This window comes from Homo sapiens, chromosome 4 (genome assembly GCF_000001405.40).
Source record: "Homo sapiens chromosome 4, GRCh38.p14 Primary Assembly".
NCBI lineage: Eukaryota > Metazoa > Chordata > Mammalia > Primates > Hominidae > Homo > Homo sapiens.
The window spans coordinates 13597193-13618824 of NC_000004.12; the positions used below are offsets into that span (position 1 = coordinate 13597193).

Consider the following 21632-nt stretch of genomic DNA (forward strand, 5'->3'; position numbering starts at 1 on the left):
ACAGTTTAAGAATTTGCTTGCAAAATACATCTGGGGTCAAAAAGTAATGGAATGTGGTTATCTGACATGCTGTTGCACCTTCCTTTTCTGGTTTATTTTGCTGTCAGTAGAAAATGATCAAAAGGAATATGTTGTATAAAAGAATCTGGATGAAAGGCAGGGATTATTTGCTCATTTTGGGTGAGTGAAATTCTTATTTGCACAGTAAGATAACTGCCCAGAAAGAATGACAAAAGTATTATCTGTGGAGACATCTTCATTTCCAAGTATTTTTCTGCAGTGATCTCCATCAAGTTTGTCCTTAAAAATATTCTGAGTCACTAAGGTCTATTCTCAGTAAAGGTGATTTATTAACAGATTCACTTTACTTGCTTCACACTGAACACAGAAAAATTGAACACAAAGTTAAACTGTGAGGTAGACAAAAAGAAAAAATTTTCTCAGGTGCAGAGATTCAGTTCTACTCTGGTCTTGCCTCTTATATCCTTCTTTAGATTGTGTAGAAGCTTCTGTGGAAACCCTTCTATTTTCACTTCTTCAGGAAAAAAGGAGGAATGAGTAATTGTAGCAATGATTGAGTCATAAAAACTTCTGGAGCATTCAATTTACTCCAGGCTAAATTCAACAGAAACTTGTAAAGTTACTTGTTTCAACCCTTGGAGCATTTCTTAAAGTCTCCTAAGTCTCTATAATGAACAAGACTAAATCTATTAGCCTCAGCTTCCTGAGACTGGGTTAGATGATGGCTAAGGTCTATTTCAGTTAAAAGTCCAGGATGCTACAATTTATATAGCCAGAGTGGAAAAGAATTCCTCTGTCCCTTCAAGTCCAGCCCATGAGGACCCTTTTGTTCCTACAGCATCCTGTGCTTAATCCCAGTCTATGCAATTGTCATGCTTTAAAGTGTCACTGTCCACTTTTCTCCAATCTGGACTGGTATAAAGTATCTGAAGTTGGACGGTATAAGGCATGACTGAGATAATATCTTTGAAAGTTATTAACTATTTCTAAAAGACCAGCACTGTCCAAAATCTGTCAGCAGGGAAAAATGTTTCTTTTCACTTTCAAATATATTCTAAACTAGAAACTCATTTCACCTGAAAAATAAGCTCAGTTAAAAATAACATGCTCCTTTGATTCAAAGGAACTAACAGACTGAACAAACAAATACTGCAAACCTATGATCAGATGAGGGTTGGAATCGTGTTTGCCTTTGTATTATCATCCCGTCTTATTATCCCCATTTTATACAACAAGAAATGGAGGCTCAGAAACTGATTTTTCCTCTAAAAGTCACCCGAGGACCATGAATGCTATTTAAATTTTCTGACCCTATTTCCTCGTTTGTAAAATGAGGGTGGTAAAAAAAAAATGTATTGCTTTCATTGGGTTGTGGTAGGGTATTCTTCTTTTTGATTGACAAAAAACCTGTAGGTCAAAAAGGTTTAGTAAGTTGCAGCAGTCATGTAAATAACATGTGGACTTCCCATGCCTCAGCCTCCTGCTTTTTCTCTCCCCACACATGAGAAATGGGCCAAAGGCTTTAAACTTTTAAACACAAGTAGCTTTTAGAGAAGTTTGACCTTCAAGTTTGATGAGAGTTATTTTGCAACATTATGATATGAGAAAAAAATTTATAGATATTTTATCTTTCTGGAACCAAAACCATCTTTTGGAAGACTGTCCTAAATGCACTCTGTTGTACAATCATCCTTGTAAATATTAAAATTTGCAATTAGGTACAGATTCTCACCTATGTCACACACATTTTCTTCAGAAGACACAGTAACCATTATGTCTCCTTCCTCAGGGAATGATTTCCTTGTGCTGTTATCATCTCCTGTTTTCTCAGCAGATGCTTGATCAGTCCATTTGCCACTATAATCATTCTTTATAGTCAAGTCCTGCTCACATTTAGGAGCCAACAGAGCTACACTGTAAGTAGCTGGAGGGATCATTGTGTGGGAAGGAGCAATTTTTGATTCTTGGCCAGTAATACATTTGGTGGTACTGGTTTTCAAGTTGTCTTCAGACCCCTGCTGCTCAGCAGGAAGAAAGGAATGCTCAGCCACGGTCCCTTGAACAGGTGGCATGTCATCAGCTTTTATAGCACCGGTGTTTACTGCTGCCAAATAGCGAATGCTGACAGAGGGATCCTTAGCCGTCTGCCCAGACGTCTGTTCTGGTCCTCTCAGGTGGGCAGGTGAGTTAGCATTCCCCTCTAAGCCCCTTCCTGCTGAATAACTTGCTGTGCTACTGCCCCCTGCTGTCCCTGTCTCTGGGCTCTTATCTTCTTTCTGAAGGGAGTTCAACAATACATTCTTCTCTTCTGCATTTATGAGGTGTAAAGTGCTCTCTTTCTGTCCTCTTCCTGCAAATGGTCCTATTTCGGGGCACTCCTTGCCATGCTTCTCTTCTTTTTCCGCACAAACAGCACTTGGATGGCCTTGCCCTGCAGAGGGCTTGTGGACTGATGGCCCGTTGTGCCCCTCCTCGGTGCTCACTGCCAACACGGGACCCGGTTCTTTGCCTCCCCTGACTGGCCCAGGACACCGACAGTTATTCTCAGCAATTAGGCTGGGCATGGGGACCTTGTGCTTGCTCACTTCTGTGGCTGACAGGTCACCGTTCCCTTCTGGGTTGTCTGCAGTCAGCTGATTCTCTTCATGTCTGTCAATGCTGGCGGAAATTGGCATACATTCTGCTGTGCTGGTGGAGATGATGGCAGCATCGCTCAAGTCTTCTACTCTTGTGATGGTGAGCCGATCTTCATCCTGGAGGACAGCACCAATCATGACTGCTTCACACCCTTCAGAGGTGCTTGTGGAAATCATGGCGGTGTCACCCATCTCTTCCGCTGGTGTGACTGAGGGGTCGCCTTCCTCTTGAGGGACAGCACTGGACACTGGGCCCTCACAGTCTTCCACCGAGCTCGTAGAGATGATGCCACTCCCGTCTTTTTCTTCCATGACTGTGCCAGCTCGCTCATTTTCACTTTCAACAACTACACCGGAAACAGAAGCCTCACATTCTTCTGCTATGCTAGTGGAAATGAGAGCACATTCATCCTTCTCCTCCTTGCTGGTTGAGGCAAGAGGACTTTCAGCTTCTGGGGGCGCACTGGGCATAGGCCCCTCAAAGTCGGCGGTGCTTATCAAGACTGGACCTGTAGCCCTTTCTTCCACTGCTGCAGCAACCGGCTGAAGACTTTCAGCACACTTGATGGTTGTTGCACTGGAGATAGGCAATTCGAATTCTTCCCCTATGCTTGTGGAAATCATGGCACACTCATCTTTCTCTTCACTTCTGCTGGCAGTGAGTTGGCTGTCATCTCCTGAGACTGCACTGGGCATGGGGGCCTCAAATTCTTCTGTGGTTACTCTGGTACCTTCCATATTTTCTTCAGTTCTCAGAGCATCTGAGAGACCTCCTTCCACATCTGTAATTGCGCTTACCTGAGGGGTGTAATCATTTGTGGTACTGGTGGAAATAATCAAAACTTTGCCTTGATTTTTACCCCCTGCTAAGCTATTCTGGTTGGTAATATCACCACTGGCTGTAGTTGCCATGAGACCATCACACTCTTCATTTTCTACAGAGGTGATGATGTCCTCATCTTCTTTTTCACTTGGTGATGTGTGAGCAACTTCACATTCTGGGACTTCACCAGATACAAGAACATCGTAACTACCCCCGACCAGGCCAGTGGAAATAGTGGTATCTTCAACTTTTTCGAGCTGACTGTCACTTTGATCAGATGCAGCACTAGTCATAGGACCCTCACAACCTCCTGGAACTGGTGTCACTTCATCCTTTCCTGAGACTGCACTGGTCACACTGCTTTCTACAATCCCTTTTGCACTGGAGCAGATATCTGTGTCTTTACTTCCTTTCTCTGTGCCACTCATGCTGTCAACATTATTTTCATTTGCATTCATGATGGCAGCTCCAGCCTCAGCTTCCACATGCTCTACCACAGTACCAATCTGACTGTCCCCTTCTGCACTTTCACAAATCAAGACCCCTTCACTTTCTTCTCCTAACCCTGTACAAGTTGAAGCATGCCCAATTTCATTTCCTCTTCCAGTACTAGTCACAACATCCTCCCCTTCCTCGTCTTCCTCTTTTGCGCCTGTGCTAGTCACAATGCCTTCATCATCACAAGGACCAGCAGCAACTAATGGTACATTAGTGCCTTCTTTGGCCACTGTGCTGTCCATTGCACTCTCTCCATTTTCTTCCGATTCAGAACTTATAGCAAAGCCTTCGCTGCTATCTTCTGAACCTGTGCAACTTGCTGGCCCCTCTCCATCTTCTGTTATCCCCGTGCTGGTGACTGCACTCTCACCTTCTGTACCATCATTCACAGAACCATCTCCTTCTTGGCTGGCACTTGTTCCTGGTGGTGCATCATTATCTCCCAGGACAACACCTGCACCTGTAACCATGCGTTCCTCCCGGGGCCCTGCTCCAGTTACTGAGCAGATCACAAAGTTATCACTTCTGCCTTCTGCTCCTGTACATGTCACAGTGCCCTCTGTTTCTTTTTTGGGACCCATTCTCATCATATTTCCCTGGGAGCCATCCACCTCTTCACTGCTTATAGATCCTGCTCTTATCTCTGTTCCAGCACTTGTAACTGCTCCATCACTTTCAACTTCACTAATAAAAGTAATAGTTCCTTCAACTATTTCTGAGTCTCTACTTAAAGAACCATCACATTTTTCTTCAGAGCCTGCACTGGTTACAGCATCATCCTTTTCCTCTGTCACAACGCTATTTACATTGGCTTCGATTTTAACTGCATGCACAGCCAGTAGGTCTGCTGCTCTGTCCTCAGATTCAGCCACAGCACACTCCCCACTTTCCCCTTCCTTAGTGCTTGTGAGGAAGGTTTCACTTTCAGCAAATCCCTCTGTGACAACAGCCCCACCTTCTTCAGCTGCAGCAAAAACAGTGCATTCACTGGCTTCTGCACCAACATGAAGAGGATTATTTCTGGAATGTGTTCCTATTATGAGGCCTTCATCTGCCTCAATGCTGGTGCAAGGCAAAGCCACCTCACTTTGTCTTGTTTCTGAAGAAGTGGTTGTGGCAGGCCCAGCCTTCACTGGACTTAAGGTGACATCTTTGTCCTTCCCTTCAGTACTAGTGGCAACAGAAGTCTTTTCTGCTCTCCTAGGCCCAGTTGCCACATCCTCAGTTTGTCCGTTCCTTTGGTGTAAAACAGAGGGTGCAGAGCCACTTCCAGCACTGGTGTCTACCTCACTGTTTTCATTCCTTCTTTCAACATCAATTGATATGTCTTTTACTTTACCTGGGCTTCTTTTATGCTTAAGTTTGACAGTTTCAGCATATTTTTCTGTATTCAGGCCTACAACATGATCAACAGCAATGCCATCCTTCTTGCCATTCTCTACTGTTGCTTTAATTGTCTGCTTTAAATTGGGCTCTGCATTTAAGTCATTTTCTTTCTTGGCCATGTCCACTAAGCCACCTTCTTTGGTAATATTCTCATTTTCCACAATCACGCCCGTTAACTTACTTCCAAGAGGCATGATTACCTTTCCTTGTTTACCATCCAATAAAGTAGCCTGGTGAGCTTCTGGAATGTGTCTTTTGCTAGTGATGCTTGCTTTTGCTGGTGTATCTACTGTGAAACCTTCACCACCTTCTTTGCTGTCACTTGTCTTAAGGACTTCTGATTCCCTAACAGTCAGACTTTGGTTAGGGAGAGCAGAGTGATCCGCAGGGGAGGTGCTGGCTGTGCTACCTTCCAAAACAGTTCTTTTGTCAAACAGAGGAATTACATCTGGATCATACGATTCCCTCAGAGGCACAACAGTCACTGAACTTAAGGATGGTGAGGAGTCTAAATTTGTGGAATGTTCAAGAGTGGCATCTCCTTGAGCAACATGTTCTTCAGCAGCTGTGTTTTTCAAATTCTTCTGTACCCTATCATTTTCTGATGGGGCACTCAGTAACATTCTATGAACAGTTTCAGAATCTATATTCACTTCAGTAGTTCCTCTATGAATGGGTTCTTTCTCCCCAGGGTTCATTTTGGACACAGCACTTTGTATATGCATTTTCTTGGTCAAGGTGCTTCTATGATCGGCATGCTTTTCAGAATTACTATTAACTCCTGTTCCACGGCCTGGCTTATAAGCTGGAGCTGTTGCTTTTGAATCTGCTGTGCAAGTTCTCAATTCATCCTTTTGAACAGTGGCAGAAGTTTTTTGTTTCATATTTTCAGAGTCAATGTCTTGCTGAGAATTATTATTGCGGTTGTCTTGGGTTTTAGATACTTCAAACACATTTTCAACACCTGGCTCAGAATCAATTTCCATTGGCTCTTGTTCAGGGATCAATGTCATATCACCACTCTTTTTTGGTCTCTGAAGGGAGGAACCGCTGGGAGTGCTCAAAGTGTTTGCTGCTAATTTTTCTTCTCCTTTGGCCATTTCTTGTGACAAGCTTCCTCTCCGATTTTCGCACAACCTTCTACTTAATTTCTTTTCCATGAGTGAACTATTACCTCTGGCCTTTTCATGACTACTGTCAACTTCTTTACCATCCTTGTCATCTGATTTATTTTCGTCCTTCTTTTTTATGTCTTTACTACTATGCTTTAAGCTTCTGCTTTTGTGGCCATCTGACAACTTTCTCTCAAGCCTGGTGGAAGTGGAGTCTTTATCACTCTTATATTTCTCCTTTGCTAATGGTAACTTGGCTCTATGACTAGAATCCTTCTGTGTACTATGTGCTGAAGAAGAAGCAGTCTCTAATACAGGTTCAACACCAGTTTCTTCAAAAGGTTTGTCTTCAACTTTAGACTTACGCTGTTTTTCTGAGTCATTTTCTTCTGTGTTCTTCTCCTTGTCTGGTTTTGGAGTGGTTGCCTGTTTTGTGGCACCTTCTTGTAATTCTGTTTCTACAACTTTTACCTGTTTGCCTTGAGTTTTTGATTTAGACTTCAACACAAGTTTCTCTTCTAACAAGCTCTTTGTTCGTCGTTTCTCCTTGTGAACAACCTCTTCTGGTTTCAAATTACTATCCATGTTAGTGGAGTCCATATCACACTTATCTTCCGAATAACTTTCACTTCTTCTCTGTAATGTGATACCATGTTGCTTGGAACCCAGAGAATCTTTCTGAATTTTAGAATCACTTGACCTTCTTGATTTGTGCTCTGCCTTAGTTTTTTCAGCTGACAAGCGTCTCTCTTTTTTGTTGTTTTCTTTACGAACATTCTCATCTGTTTTTATAATATATTCAGAAACTGGCTTTCCATCTTTGCCTAATACTGATAATTTCCTTTCATTCCTATGTTTACTTTTTCGTTCGGTTTTATCATCTGAAGAAAGCTTTGTTTGTTGACTTTGCTTTTGAATATTTTCCTCTACTTTTAAACCTTTCTCAGAAGAGTGAAGCTCAGTCTCATCACCTGTTTTATGCATACAATCACCTTTATATTTATGTTTCACAGACAATTTGTCTTCCGATGGAGTTTTCTCTCTTTCAGGCTTCTCCTTGGAGGATTTCACCTCTTTCTTAAGTAGGCTTTTCAAATGTGGTGTTTCAGAATCATCTTTCTTTAGATGCTTTTCGTTTTTAAGTGTGCTTTTCTGTTTCTGGGGCTCTTCGGTGCAAATTTCTGAGCGTTCTACTTGCCTTTTTACATCTCTTGTGTCAGTCTCTTCCTGTACCCCCTCCATGATAACAGGGGTAGATGTCCGTCTTTTATGTTCTCTTTCTAATTTGGATTCATTTTTGTTTTCGTCAACTACATGCAAAGACTCTGAAAGTCTCCGGGCAGGTTTACTTGGTTCACTTTTTGCATGAACATGCTTCAGCTCCTTTGAAGAAGAAATTTTTTCCTTTTCACAATGCTGAAAGAAAACAAAGGTTAAAATATGAGAAATACCAAAATCAATTTTTAGATTAAAACATAACATTTGGGTGGATTTAATATGTTGAGTGCTGTCACATATGTAACATCTCACTTAATTCTTACAAACAGCCTGTGTAGGTGTCAAAAACTCACCTGATTTTAAAAAATAAGTATTATTAACTTGATTTTAAGAAGCTAAATTCTTCAAAGAACTAACAGGAGTTTGCAACAACCATATTTTACAATAAAAAAACTAATTCTAAACAATATGAACAATTTTATGAGATTATTTCTCATAGAGATTTATCACAAAATAAAGTTAAATACTTAAAAATATGCCATTAAAACATCAGGAAATTGTAGCTCAGCATGATTCTATAACTTGACACTCAGACCACAAGTAGGTGTGTTAGGAATGAGTTTAGATTATTTCATTCCGAGTCTAGTACTCCTTCCAGTATATCACAGGCACTGATTTGTCTATGAATTCTTCAATTCTGAATCACTAGAACTCACTAATGCCCAGTACTCAATAATAAATATGAGCTGAATAAATGACAGTCAAATGTCCTTTTCAGTCAAAAACATAATACATGAAGGCAATTTAAAATTGAAATATACTGAAATATAGATTTCCTATATTTTAATTTAAAAAGCTGAATTATGTATGGAAACCTCATGAATTTAGGCTACTTGTACAATATTCTACACATGAAGCTTCAAATGTACACAATAACGCACAGTAACCATATCATATATAACATATGTATATGTTTATGTATTCAAAAAAAGATACGGAGAGACAAGAGCATCTAAACCTTCCTTCTGGCCCTGTGGTTTGGCACTAAGTAGGCGATTAATATTAATGAGTGGAGGTTGACTAAATCCACTTCAATAATACTCACTGACTACTAGCTATAATTATTCTTATGCAAATAATGGGCCAAAGTTCAGACGGACCTTTGTGCCTCTAGGTCAGTTTAACACTTCATCTCCTTAAATGTCAACACAAAGATTAATGTACTTCTACTAATAACAGGGTCCAGGACATAACAAGACCTTATTAAATAGCTTAAAATAAAATTCCTCAAAGAACTAACAGGAGTTTGCATCAACTTCACAATAAAAAACTAATTCTAAGCAATGTGAATACTATTTTATGAGATAATTTCTTATAGAGAATTATCATAAAAGAAAGTTAAATATTTAAAAATATGTCATTAAGCCATCACTATATACTTCTAAATACGCCTTTAATTTCTGAGTAAATAAATTAAATTTATGTTTGCTGATGATGAACAAATAATCACTAACATTGCTTTTTCCCTCTGGAAATATTAAGATAGTTTAGCTACAGAACTACAGATAATGTGGTTTTTGTAAAAAAGAATTTTAAAACAGTGAAAGCAAAAGTTTGTCCCACGAAAATAATCCTGAAAGGGGGAAGAAAACATTGTACGTTACTTTTACTGTTTAAAATGATCAAATCTTGGAAACAACCTAAGCGCTAAAATATAAGGACATGCTTAAATAAATTATGGTATGTACATTATATGTAACACTAGACAATCATTAAATAATTAGGATGCCTAGAAGGTAACATGAAATGAGTAAAATGTTAAAAACAGTTTGCCAGATTACTTGTACTCTAAAAAATTATGTGGACCCGTGGATAAGGAATGAGAGGGAATAAAAAGGATAATTTGTTATAGTGGAGGGATTTTAGATTTTAATTTTAGCCTCCCTTTTTCTTTTTTTGTCATTACTGGCATTTTTGTTATTGCAATTATAAGAAATGGGAAAAGAGAAGAAGAGTAGCTATTACCTAGATAAACGACAAATATATAAATCAACTCAACAAAATGGGCAATTTGGGACATAACAAAATGGGGTTTCAAAAATGCTGAATGTAAGTTGACTTTTTATTTGACTTGAAAAAAGTCAAATTACATTCTAAGTTTTACTCCAAAGGAATAAACAGCCTATATCTAACAAAACAGCATTTGAAATGAGGTTTTATTAAGGCATACCTCACTTGTTTTAAGGGTTTCTTTGGAATCTTCTTCATATTGCTGTTTCTTTTTGGAGTTCTCTTCAACATTCCTAAGGGGGAAAGAGTCAAATATAAAGCATGAATCAAATACGAAAATTTTTCAGGAAGGTTGAAAACAATAAAAATCTTTCCTTTACTATAATTTTTATTTATCTTATTTTATTATTATTATTTTTTGAGGTGGAGTCTTGCTCTTGTTGCCCAGGCTGGAGTGCAATCACGCAATCTTGGCTTACTGCAATCTCCGCTCCTGAGTTCAAGTAATTCTCCTGCCTCAGCCTCCCAAGTAGCTGGGATTACAGGCATACGCCACAATGCCTGGCTAATTTTGTATTTTTAGTAGAGACAGGGTTTCACCATGTTGGTCAGGCTGGTCTCAAACTCCTGACCTCATGTGTTCCACCCGCCTCTGCCTCCCGAAGTGCTGGGATTAAAGGCGTGAGCCACCGCGCCCAGCTGTTTACTATAATTTATACACTTGATCGACAAATGCAGACTTGTTACATTTCAATTTAAATCCTATCAATTATTGGTCAACAAAGGAGAGCACAATCCCAAACATAGCATTAACTGTTCTTGGTGCTAAAGGAAAGTACAGCTGAAACAAAAATTCCTAATTTGTTGCTTAAAGATGAATGCTTTATGGGCTATAATTACACTTCAAAATTACTATCTTTTGAGTAAAGAGGGCAGTCTTATTTATTCAGATCAATAAGGATGAGAGGTAATAATAGTAAGAAATTTGAGAGCTTACTACTCTTACCAAGTTCTGCAAATTATCAAATCAGTTATCCTGAAGTCTGTGATAAATTTACATAAATGCAACTTGATGGAATAGCAAAATTGCAGCCCATGGCTCACATGACTTCATAGCTACCCTCAAGAGTCTCTTTAGCTTTCTAATTCTTAAAAAGTTAACGATGATAATGCAGGGTTAATAAGGAATCTGGCCCAGATTCTGGGTTGGGGGAGAATCATGGAATACTGGTAAAAATAACGGCATGGAAAGACTGGAAATAATAATTGAAAATAAGTGGTTACTGAACACCAACAAGAGGAATACCTCCAGGGAACTTCTAGAGGATTCATAAACTCTTAAAGTCTAGGGATAATTGTTAGCTTATGCATGTACATTTTTCAGGGGAGAGGGTCTAAAGCTCTCACCAAATTATCAAAAAGATCTGGGACGCCCAAAAAGATTAGGATACACTACTTAGAAATGTTATAGATATTAACATTTTGATACTAAATATGAAACCCTAAGGTCCTTCATAAACATGCAGTAACATACACAACCAAAGTACAACTCTTTACTGTCACTTCAATTCCTCTCTTCTGAAAGCACCCAGGGGAGTGTTATAAGGGAAACATGACCAGATAAAATATGTACCTTGAATCTTTTTTTCTCTTTTTGCTTAAGGCTACTTTTTTTTCTAAAACTTTCCGTTCTTTAAGGACTTCTTTAATTCTGGCGGCTTTAGGTTCCAAACTCTTTGTTGATGATTCTTCTAAGTCCACACTACTCCTGCCTAGAAAAGAAGCAATCAATAAAACGTATTTCAGAAAAGTTTTACAAACAATGTAATATTAATTTTTCATTAAGATTTTTCTAATCATTGTTAAAGCCAAAATGGCTTTAATATTCTTAAGTTGTGCTGGAATAGATATAATATTTTGGATGAAGAAGTCTTATCTCTCTTATTTCAAATGATCACATAAGTGTGTGTATGTGTGATTTCATATATTACATAGGATTAGTGCCCAGAGGGAATACAATTTTGTTCAACACAATATTACAGGGAAATGTTTGACATTTTAGTTAACATAAGCATAGATTAATTTCATTAATCACCAGCAAGGGTTGATAACTCATGTGTTAACAATCTACTTTCCAGTGATTCAATCATTACAGAAAAATATACTGCTAACAAATGAGTTGCATAAGCTGGTTTCTGGTAAAATGTTTAATTTAGATTTAGCAATTTAATAAAAAAGAAAAATGATGAAACACATGAGATTAAAACGTAAGGAAATCTTCCACATTTGAGACTAGATCATTTTATTTTATATTCATGTCTCATAAGTAATATAAGAGTACCCAGAAAATAATGAAATATATGAGATAGTTTAAAATATTAAAAGTTGACATCTATACCTTGACCCTTGGTTTTTGAAGACTTTGTCTTTTCTGCTTTCTGTTTTCGTTTTTCTTCAAGTTTTTCTCTATTGATTTGCCTTCTTAAAAGCCTCTCTTCTTTTTCTTTGGCCTAAAACCACAAAATACCCTAACAGATTATTAGGCAAAGGCAAAAACACACTGAAAAATTGTATTTTTTTTAAAGTTTTAGTTTACCCTTCAGATGTTCTTACAAATTAACGGGCTCTGAAAAAATGCACATACACTACATATATATACACACATTTATCTCTGTGTGTATACATACATATGTATGTGTATGTTTCAATCTAGAAGCTACCAGAATAGAAGAAACAGATGTGAAAATTTGCCATTACTCTTTAAGAATGCCATTAAAGAAAGGGAAAGGTATAATTTTGGGGAAAAGTGATTAAATAAGCTGGTTGTTTCAATTAAAATGATAGCTGTGAAAATATCTATGAACATCAAGTATATATAGGTAGGTGTTTATAACTTTTCAACTGTTCTTATAGAAAACAGTTGAAATAAAAATTCAAGTGATAGGCTAGTTCTACAACATATATGACTTGCTGGTTATATGCTTGGGACCCAAGGGACTCAGGACTTGCAGGTCTTTTACAGCAGAAAGAATTCACAGTCATTGTGCTATTCCTACTATCTCTTTCTGGCTCAGAGTGCCAAAAATCCTAAGCAGGTGCATAACTTCTAACCAAGTAATGTTTTCAAAAGATAAGCCTGAAGGGAAGGCTAATCACTACTAGCATTTTGGGGTAGTTTCTTCAAATCATTTTCCTATGTGACAATATTTCCTGATTCTGAACTTTTCATATTTTACAACTTTTCATATTTTAATGTTTCTGAAATTGTAAGCTATCTTAAAACCAATATACATATGTAACAATAAGGTAGTAATTTTCTTTAAAAAGCTGTTATTAATTCAGTGGTACATTTTATAATTGGAAATATTTTTGAATCCAAGAAATAGGTAAATAGCATTTCCATATCAATAGTATGTTAATAGCTGCATACTGTATTTTTGCAGGACTGGATCTACACTTGATTTAAACATTTCCATACTGTGAAGCACTCAGGTTGTTACCAGTTTCACTACTACAGGTTGAGCATCCCTCATCTGAAAATCTTAACTCTTTGAGCACTGACATGCTGTCACAAGTGGAAAGTTCCACACCTGACTTCATGTGACAGGTGGCAGTCAAAATGCAGTCAAAACTTTGTTTCATGCACCAAATTATGAAAAACATTGTATCGAATACTCTTCAGGCTATGTGCATATACATATAAGAAACACAAAGGAATTTCATGTTTAGACTTGCATTCCATCCCTAAGATTTGTCACTATGTATATGCGAATATTCCAAATTGTGAAAAATTCCAAAATTTGAAACACCTCTGGTCCCACCCATTTCGGATAAGGGATATTCACTTGTATTAGTAATGATGACACAAACATCTCTGTCACATGTTTACATCTACTCTACCTAGTTAAATGACAAGTTTCCTGAAGGCAAATCCTGTATGTCTCTGCTTCATATGCACATCAGTACCTTGCAGATAGACTATTTAAGTTTGTTAACCTGATGTAGTAGGTTAAAATAACAGAACAAACTGGACTTACAATGGACTGTCGTCGTTGTTCTACAGTAAGCTCATCATCAGAATCACTATAGTATTTTGAGTAAAGATATGGTTTGTGGACATACGCATGCCGTACACTTTTTGTTTTTCCTTCACTAGAATCACTAGTTTGAGTTTTTGTTTTATTCTGTTTGTTCTTCTCTTCATCTGTAAGAAAGTTAATAGAAAGAGGAGTATGTCTGTGAATTAGCATAAAATCAACATTATGCTGTACAAGCAGTAAAGGCAAGATGAATTGGAGGTCCAAAAGGGGAAATATCAGGATGTGAAGATTTCAGAAATTGACTTTTAAAAGCTATAATTCATATTTTTATTTCTTATCAGCTTCTCACACATAAATAAGACAAAGAAAAATTAGACATTATAGTTACTTATGCTATTAAAAGGAAAATTTCAGACAAATTAAATGTAACAGAGTTTTCTGGAGCAAAGAATGATTCATGACTCAGGCGTTGGAACCAGGAGAGGTTCTGAGAGCTCTGCTTCGCAACACCAGCAGTGTGCTTTCACAGGCTGAACACAAAAGCAGAGGAGACACATGACTGGACTGGCTGCAGCCAGATGTTTGCCTTATTTGAATATGATCTGGTGGAAAGTCCCTAGTTAGAGGTTAATTGGAGGTTTCTGATGAGCTAAGTTTAAATTCTGTTTTACTATTTAGACTGGGCTTCAGTTTGCCTTTGTAGGAACCCAAGGCACTGGAGCTATCTCTCAGCCTAACAGCCTCCATCTGCGCCTCAGAGTTCTCTTGACAAACAATTCTTATTTGTCACTGGACTTGATATTTATGCTTTACCATTGTTAAGTTCAACAAATCCACTGGAAGTTGTAGTTTAAAATAAACTTGAGATTTTAATGACCACCTCTGAATTTCTCATTTAGGGAAGAGGTGGGAATTAATAACTGGAAGGTAATTTGCTTTGCTTTGACACAGCAAGAAGAAAAAAAAAGTAAACAAGGTTTTCACTTCCTACCATGTACTCTTAAAATAGCCATCTTCTTCTCACTTTTTAAATCCCATACATATAAAATCTAGTCTTACCAGGAAAAAACTTAAGAAGACCCAAAAAGGCAACAAGAATTAATTTTAGTTAGGGCAGAGAAAGTGGAGTGTTCACAGAATAGGGAGCACTCTTCCTACACAGGTAATGCAGAGCTGACCTCATGAGGACAGATATGACAATTAGGAATTACTGCTGCTGCTTTTTTTAGTTTGTGAAATTGAAGAAAAAAAAATGGGAGGCATTGAGAAATACCTCTATGGTGTTAAAAGCTTATACTTTTTCTCCTCTATGATTTTCTCTCTAGGTAGCCTATCCGAAAGCTGGCAACAAATTTATAAGATGCTCTCTACAGGCAGTTGCAAATAAAACTCAATATTTTTATTACTCCTAAACTAATAGTCCTAAACAGAATTTAATCATGTGGTAAGAGCAACATAAGATATTGGTAAGAAGCACAGACTCGGGTTTGAAATCTGCACTGGTGCTCACTAGCTACATGACTGGACAAGACATGGTCTCTCTGTGACTTTGTCTCCTTGCCTGTACCTACTTCCTGGGGTGGTTCTGAGGACTATAGGAGTTATTACATGAATGTCCTTAGCACAGTGCCTGGAAGACAGGAAGTGCTCAGGAGGGGTTTTCTGAAAAACAAACTGTATTATAAAGAATTCAGCCTTGCCCAGAGAGGTCTGGCCTTTACCATTAGCTTCTGGGAGGTAATCTCTAAGCCTCTGGAATGCTATGCCTGACTGGAGTGTTTCAGAGTGCGAAGGCTCTTGAGTCAAGCTAAACAGTCTAACGATGTGATTTAGGGTCGGAGTGTTGGGTCATGGAGTAAGAGTTTGACCTCTAGAGGGGGTAGAGACTGAGATCAGCCATATGGGCAGCCAACTCTGACTACATGCTAGAGCCTCGGTTAAGAACTTTGGATCCCAAGGCTCTGGTGAACTTCCCTGGTTGGCAATATTCTGCATATGTTGTCAGACATCAATGCAGAGGAAGTAATTCAAGGGGGAACAATTGGAAGTAACTGTCTGAAACTTTCCTGGACTCTGCCCTGTGTGCCTCTTCCCTTGGCTGATTTTAATCTGAGCACCTTAACTGTAAACAACCATAGCTGTGAGTATACCACCTTTCGGTAAGTTCTATGAGCCCTTTTAGCAAATTATCAAATCTAACGGTGGTCTTAGGGAACCCGGAACTTGCAACTGGTGCCATTAATTGAGGGCAGTGTTGTGGACTACGCTGTCCCCAAATGTGACACACACAAATAAAAAGCATCTTCATATATTTATCTCCTCTAAATTTTAAATTAATAATAATACTAGGGGATAGAGTTAAGGAATGAAGAACCAAGGGTTGTTGAGATTTAGTAACTTACCAAGCTTGCTCAGACAGACAACTTTGGAGCTGGGACTCAGAAACAAATCTTCCAACTACAAAATCCCATGCTCTTGCTACTATACCACACTGTTTCTCAGGATATAGCCATCAGAATATACAAATAATGCTTGACAGGATGCTTCAGAGGCATTATTATGTAAAATGCTTTACCATCTGACGTAATCTCTCCTTCTTCCATGCTATCAGACGTTACAACTTCCTCCTCAGTATCTTCTTCAAAAGATGAAAGGTCACTGGTATGAACAGAGCTAACTGTGATGTCTGTAAGTCCATCCACATCAGAATCTATCAAAGAGAAATCTTCAAGCGGAAAATAAAACACAGAAAAAAAAATCATCTTATTATAAGAACATACTCAGAGCTCAATTACTAAATTACACTTAAAATTTTCTGCTTTAAATACGTGTCAAACTATCAAACAAGGCAGAGTGGTTTCCAGAAAATACAAAGGCAAAGTAGACTTCTGTAAAAATAACTAAACTATTAATTTATAATGTATGATATAATAATAAAATGAATTTTAAGTAACTGAAGTATTTACTACCTAATAAAAATTAGGATATCCAACTATGAACTAAGTTGCTTAAAATAATGTATGTGAATAAATTATAAGACAAATTATAAATTAATAACTTCTGTTAATTTACTCTGTGAACAGATATATGAGTACACAAAAATACAAATATTTATTGCTTTTTTTCTTAAGCAAAGGGGATATAAGTTTCCAAAAGTATTAAATAAACTTATTAAAATATGAAGGCAAATTTGATACTTCCCTGATCCCAAAACACTCTGTTCTTTAAACTTTGTAGATGTTTGCAAGTTTTTATATACCTTCTTTTGTCCCTTCAACAGTTTTAGCTTTATTACTGTTCTTTTCTGAAGGAAGTTTTAAACTCTCTACTTCTTTTTCCTTTGCTTGTTTTTCATCTTTAACTTTCTGTGTATCTTCACTCTTTTTTGAGTGATCAAATTTCTTTTCAGTCTTTTCCTTCTTTTCTTTCTTTCTTTCTCCTTTCTCATTGCTGTCTGGCTTCTTTTCACCTTTGTCTGTTGATTTATTTTTTTGCTCACTGCTTTCCTGTTGAACATCCTTATTTAGCAGAATTAAATTATTATGCTCTTTTGTGTAATTTTTAATTTCTTCGACTGGACAGGGGAGGTCGCTGAACTCTTCAGACTTTGGGGCTGTTTCCAGTCCTTCACCTCCAGAGTCAGCTGTAGATTTTTCTTTATCAGCCATGTCCTCTGAAGTTCTTTCTTTGTCAGTACTAGTATCAGTGGTTGGCTGAGATGGAAGTTTTTTTGACGCTCTCTCACTGGTCTTGGCATTTGATGTTTCTGTTGAAGCCCTAGCAGCACTGGCTTCTTGGTTAAGAGAAGTTATGGTTTCCAATATCGACATGGCATCATTGGCTACATTAGCACTGGGCCCAGGAGTAGGAACACCTTAAAGAAAAACAGAAGTTTTAGAATACATTTAATCAGAAGGAAAATACCTCTGCTAAATCAATACCACATGCCATTGTCATCTTTATATGATGCATATGCTGTGCAGACCATCTGTATATTCTTTTAGACTTTCAGGTACCAGTACTAGTATATACCATATTCTGAATTATCTACCTCTCTAATATATTATCTTAGCGAGGGCACCATGCAAATCTGAGGAGTTGTCTACTTCCTAGAAAAAGACTATATTCTCTAATTATTTTAGTTATTCCTTCTATTATCATACTCACACTCACATCACATTACTACAATGCTTATTATTTTTATTAATCTAGAAAACGAAATGTTATGGCAATTGAGGAATTTAGGTGATATTTAAAGTACAATTTCATTGGAATAGCCAAATTAAAAAATGTGTTAAAGAGCCAAGTATCCCTAACTTGATATTCAGTTCAAGAAGAAAAACAATGGAACTGACCAAGAGTAAAAGCAAAGCACCTTGTGTAATAAGGGAAGTGTCTGGTTTCTCATCATCGGGAGCTGTGTTGCCACTTCCTTCCTCTTTGTGATTTAGCGTGGCCAAAAACTCATGCACAGCTTTCTCTACCTGAGGTCTGAATGTGTGGTTGATCTTTGGGTCCACAACCTGAGAAATAATTCGGTCAATACCAGACTCCAACATTCCTGATCTGAAACACAAGATAATTTATGGAAAGGTGAAAAAATAATATATTATTTGCATTAATTACTTTAAAATAACACTCTACAATCTGTCATCTATCTATCCATCCATCCAACCTTAAATTGTCCCAATCCATTTACTTGGATATAGACAATGGAAACTAAGTTTCATGCTACAGTAGCATTTAGATATACCATACTATACAAGTCTGTAAACTTTTCTACCACTGTGTCACTAGTGGAAATACTGAAACAGACAAAACAAAACACCCTTAGAACTAGACACAGTACACTGCCTAGGGTCCAGTATAGAGGTGATGCTTATCTCACCCCTACTCTGCTCATGGCATATAGGAATATGCTCATTAAAAAGCTGAGTTCTGGGTATAAAATAAACCTATGGTCTCTACAACTTTTTTTAACAGAAAAAATGTAAGCTTTTTATAAGCATTAGAGTCCCCAGAAAAAAAACAACACATACAAAATATGATTTCATCAAATTGCAAAATCAAAGAAGGAAAACTTTAGAGAAAAAAATTTGGAGAAACAAGACTTCTGGCTTTCTATTATCTTCCCGCTGTAAAAACTGGATGATTTATTCATTCAACAATTACGTTATAAGTGTCTTCTATATAACAGGCACTATGCTGGCCACTGACAGCTACAAATTGACCTGGTCCCTGTTCTGGATGGGGATGTAGACACAAACAATCAAGACATGAGATGACAGGCACTAGTACACAACATGTACTATAGGAAAAGAGAGGAGTAAGAAATTATTTGCTTATTAGAGGAATAAGAAATTATTAGATATGTCGAAGATAATTTAGGAGTGCTTCATAAAGGAGAAGACATTTGAGCCAAGTCTTCATTTCTACAGAAGAGAAGGGGAAGAAAGACACATGGAGTTAAGGAAATATCATATACAAGAGACAAAAGAGCGATGAGGACAACAATCTGTGAAATGTGCTTCTGCACAAAGGCATCTGAGTAAAATAAGAGAACGTGAATTTATTTTAAGAAACACACTTAAATCTTGTTTCTTCCTAAAAAAGAAGTGGAGGAGTCAAGGTAGTCAGGATAGTGCTGGAAGATCAAAGTGCTCGTCATTTTTAGCTTCTAAGCCTCAACTGCTCTCTATGGAATGGATGAGGAGCCATCTTTCCTTACACTTTACAAATGCTATTTTTGAGTGCACTTCCATCTGGAGTGCAGGATGGATTAGTTTTTCATTTCTGGAAGCACCTTGTCGCCTTGTGAAACTATAATTCTACTTATGTGGGCCATAGAGAAAAATGAGCCAACTCAGCACAAAGTAGGTTACCTGCTTTTTAAAGATTAAAAAAAAATGCAAATCTTGCAAACACTGTTACATCTTAGAGGTGTATTTAAAATGTAGTAGGTAGAAAAGAAATAAGAAAAAGCAATCTTAAAAAAGGTTTTAGGGTACAAGTAAAAAGGTACAAAAAGGACCGGGCATGGTGGCTCACGCCTGTAATCCCAGCACTCTGGGAGGCCAAGGCGGGCAGATCACAAGGTCAGGAGATCGAGACCATCCTGGCCAACATGGTGAAACCTCATCTCTCCTAAAAATACAAAAATTAGCTGGGTGTGGTGGCACGTGCCTGTAATCCCAGCTACTTGGGAGGCTGAGGCAGGAGAATTGCTGGAATCCAGGAGGCAGAGATTGCAGTGAGCTGAGATGGCACCACTGCACTCCACCCTGGCGACAGAGCGAACTCCGTCTCAAAAAAAAAAAAAAAAATAGAAAATAGAAAAAAAAGTACCAAAAAAAAATTAAACTATCCACTCCCAAATTTTTGCTTCAGTCTCTTTCTCTGTTTGCCTATGTTCCAGCCTCTTGTTTTGCAAACAAACAAAACACTTCTGCTTTAGTCCTTTCTCACACAGAGGTCAGCTCTAATCTTACAGAAAAATGGAGTCCAGTACCAATGATCATACTGCACTTAGCGGCCATAACTGCCTCACCCAAGTGGGGAGAAGCTACAGCCCTAGGTCAACGGCAAAGCCAAAATGCCAACAGCTGGCGTTTTTCTGGTTAAAGTTACTTCCTTGTCTTCCTTTCAAATTATGTTTAGCTAAGTTCGTTATTCAGTTACCTAGGATTTTCAGATTCTGTTGTACAAATAAAAGCTTAAGTAGAATAAAATTTTCCCTCCTACTGAGTCAGCAGATCAGCTATTAAGTTGAACCATCTGAAATTACTGGTATTAGACCATTTTTGTCTTACAAAAATGGCAAGTGCAGATAGCTCAACCTAATGGAGTCAAGTGAGTATGTCTCAAAGCATACGTACAAAAAACTGTTTGAAATTATATTTATTTACAGGGGCTAGTCCACCCCTATACCTTCAGATTGAACATAACTAAATAATCTCTTTAAGGAAGCTTTAAAATGTTATTATCAGTATCATCCAAGAGAAGGCAGCTGTCTTCCCTCTTTCAAAATGTCTCCAGAAAAAGAGATTCCTCATTACTCATAGGCAAATTGCTCCAGCATTTAATCACTGACACAGCCACAAGAACCCCTGACCTCGCACCAAACATGATTTTGTGATCACAATATCTTACTGGTACAGCAATAATTTTAAGTGCTTAATTTTCACATGTGTAAGACTTAGTTCCCTTAAATAAAAGAATGACTGCTCCCTTACCTTATAGATTTTATACGCTATAAAAGTAAATGCAATTCTAAGAAGTTTGCCTTCAATCTGAGTGTCAATATATGAAGAAAAAAAATGCCAGACTCCCAAAAAAACATGCTTTTAAAGCAATGCAATCATTTGTGAACAGGGAGGTGGCTATGCAAATCACTGAATGAAAGTAATCAGTAGGGCTCTGTATAAATGTGTGTGAAGGGGTGCTCTACCCTACCTCCACTCCCTTATCCCCTAGTCCTAAGCTATTTTGGTCATTGTTCTCTTTGAAAGCCTTTGTGGAAACTACAGGCAGCGGGCCTGTCACCCAACAGATCTTTTTTGTTTCTACTTTTTCTAGAAACAGCTTTGACCTTTTCCCACCAGGTATTATTATGCAGCCTTCTAATGGCATCTTTTGATCTCACCTGGACTCTTTTACAGGTTCCTCAGACATCCTTTAAAATGTAGACAACAAAGCTATTGTGAATTTCCCTCTTCTCTTATGCACAAGGAGACACTGTCTGAGCCCCCAGGCTTCTGGTTTCTAGTATTACCTGTGGCTAAATAGGTTTGTCTTTTAGTCAGGGTGTGAATTTTGATTTGTGGGGCTTCCTGTTGGTTGAAACTATCAGACTAGATAGGCTTTCGAGAGGTTCCTATGGGACAAAAGG

General features: G+C 37.9%; 1 protein-coding gene across 10 annotated transcripts in view, besides 4 other annotated features; it reads right to left on the reverse strand.

Annotated features, from left to right (window-relative positions):
• BOD1L1 (biorientation of chromosomes in cell division 1 like 1) overlaps positions 1–21632 on the reverse strand; it is a 58988-nt gene that overhangs the window by 28455 nt on the left and 8901 nt on the right. For 9 of the 10 annotated variants that reach the window (XM_017008010.2, XM_005248151.4, XM_017008009.2 and 6 more), the window contains exons 3-10: positions 18120–18310; positions 17004–17618; positions 16320–16469; positions 13742–13908; positions 12103–12214; positions 11338–11476; positions 9925–9997; positions 1754–7892 (exon numbers count right to left, since the gene is read on the reverse strand). In XM_017008010.2, coding sequence (XP_016863499.1) covers positions 1754–7892; positions 9925–9997; positions 11338–11476; positions 12103–12214; positions 13742–13908; positions 16320–16469; positions 17004–17618; positions 18120–18310 — 7586 coding nt within the window. Of the gene's footprint in view, positions 1–1753; positions 7893–9924; positions 9998–11337; positions 11477–12102; positions 12215–13741; positions 13909–16319; positions 16470–17003; positions 17619–18099; positions 18311–21632 lie in introns of those variants that run through there. The other variant, XM_011513830.4, reaches the window with a different exon arrangement.
• Positions 1970–2470: an enhancer, noted in NCBI's record as "H3K4me1 hESC enhancer chr4:13600786-13601286 (GRCh37/hg19 assembly coordinates)". NCBI's record gives its function as "activates a minimal SCP1, AML or CMV promoter by ChIP-STARR-seq in naive H9 embryonic stem cells {active_cell/tissue: H9 hESC(naive)}" and the evidence as "EXISTENCE:reporter gene assay evidence [ECO:0000049][PMID:30033119]".
• Positions 2471–2971: an enhancer, noted in NCBI's record as "H3K4me1 hESC enhancer chr4:13601287-13601787 (GRCh37/hg19 assembly coordinates)". NCBI's record gives its function as "activates a minimal SCP1, AML or CMV promoter by ChIP-STARR-seq in naive and primed H9 embryonic stem cells {active_cell/tissue: H9 hESC(naive and primed)}" and the evidence as "EXISTENCE:reporter gene assay evidence [ECO:0000049][PMID:30033119]".
• Positions 4064–4133: an enhancer, noted in NCBI's record as "active region_21326". NCBI's record gives its function as "activates an Ori minimal core promoter by ATAC-STARR-seq in GM12878 lymphoblastoid cells {active_cell/tissue: GM12878}" and the evidence as "EXISTENCE:reporter gene assay evidence [ECO:0000049][PMID:35858748]".
• Positions 18097–18156: a silencer, noted in NCBI's record as "silent region_15289". NCBI's record gives its function as "represses an Ori minimal core promoter by ATAC-STARR-seq in GM12878 lymphoblastoid cells {active_cell/tissue: GM12878}" and the evidence as "EXISTENCE:reporter gene assay evidence [ECO:0000049][PMID:35858748]".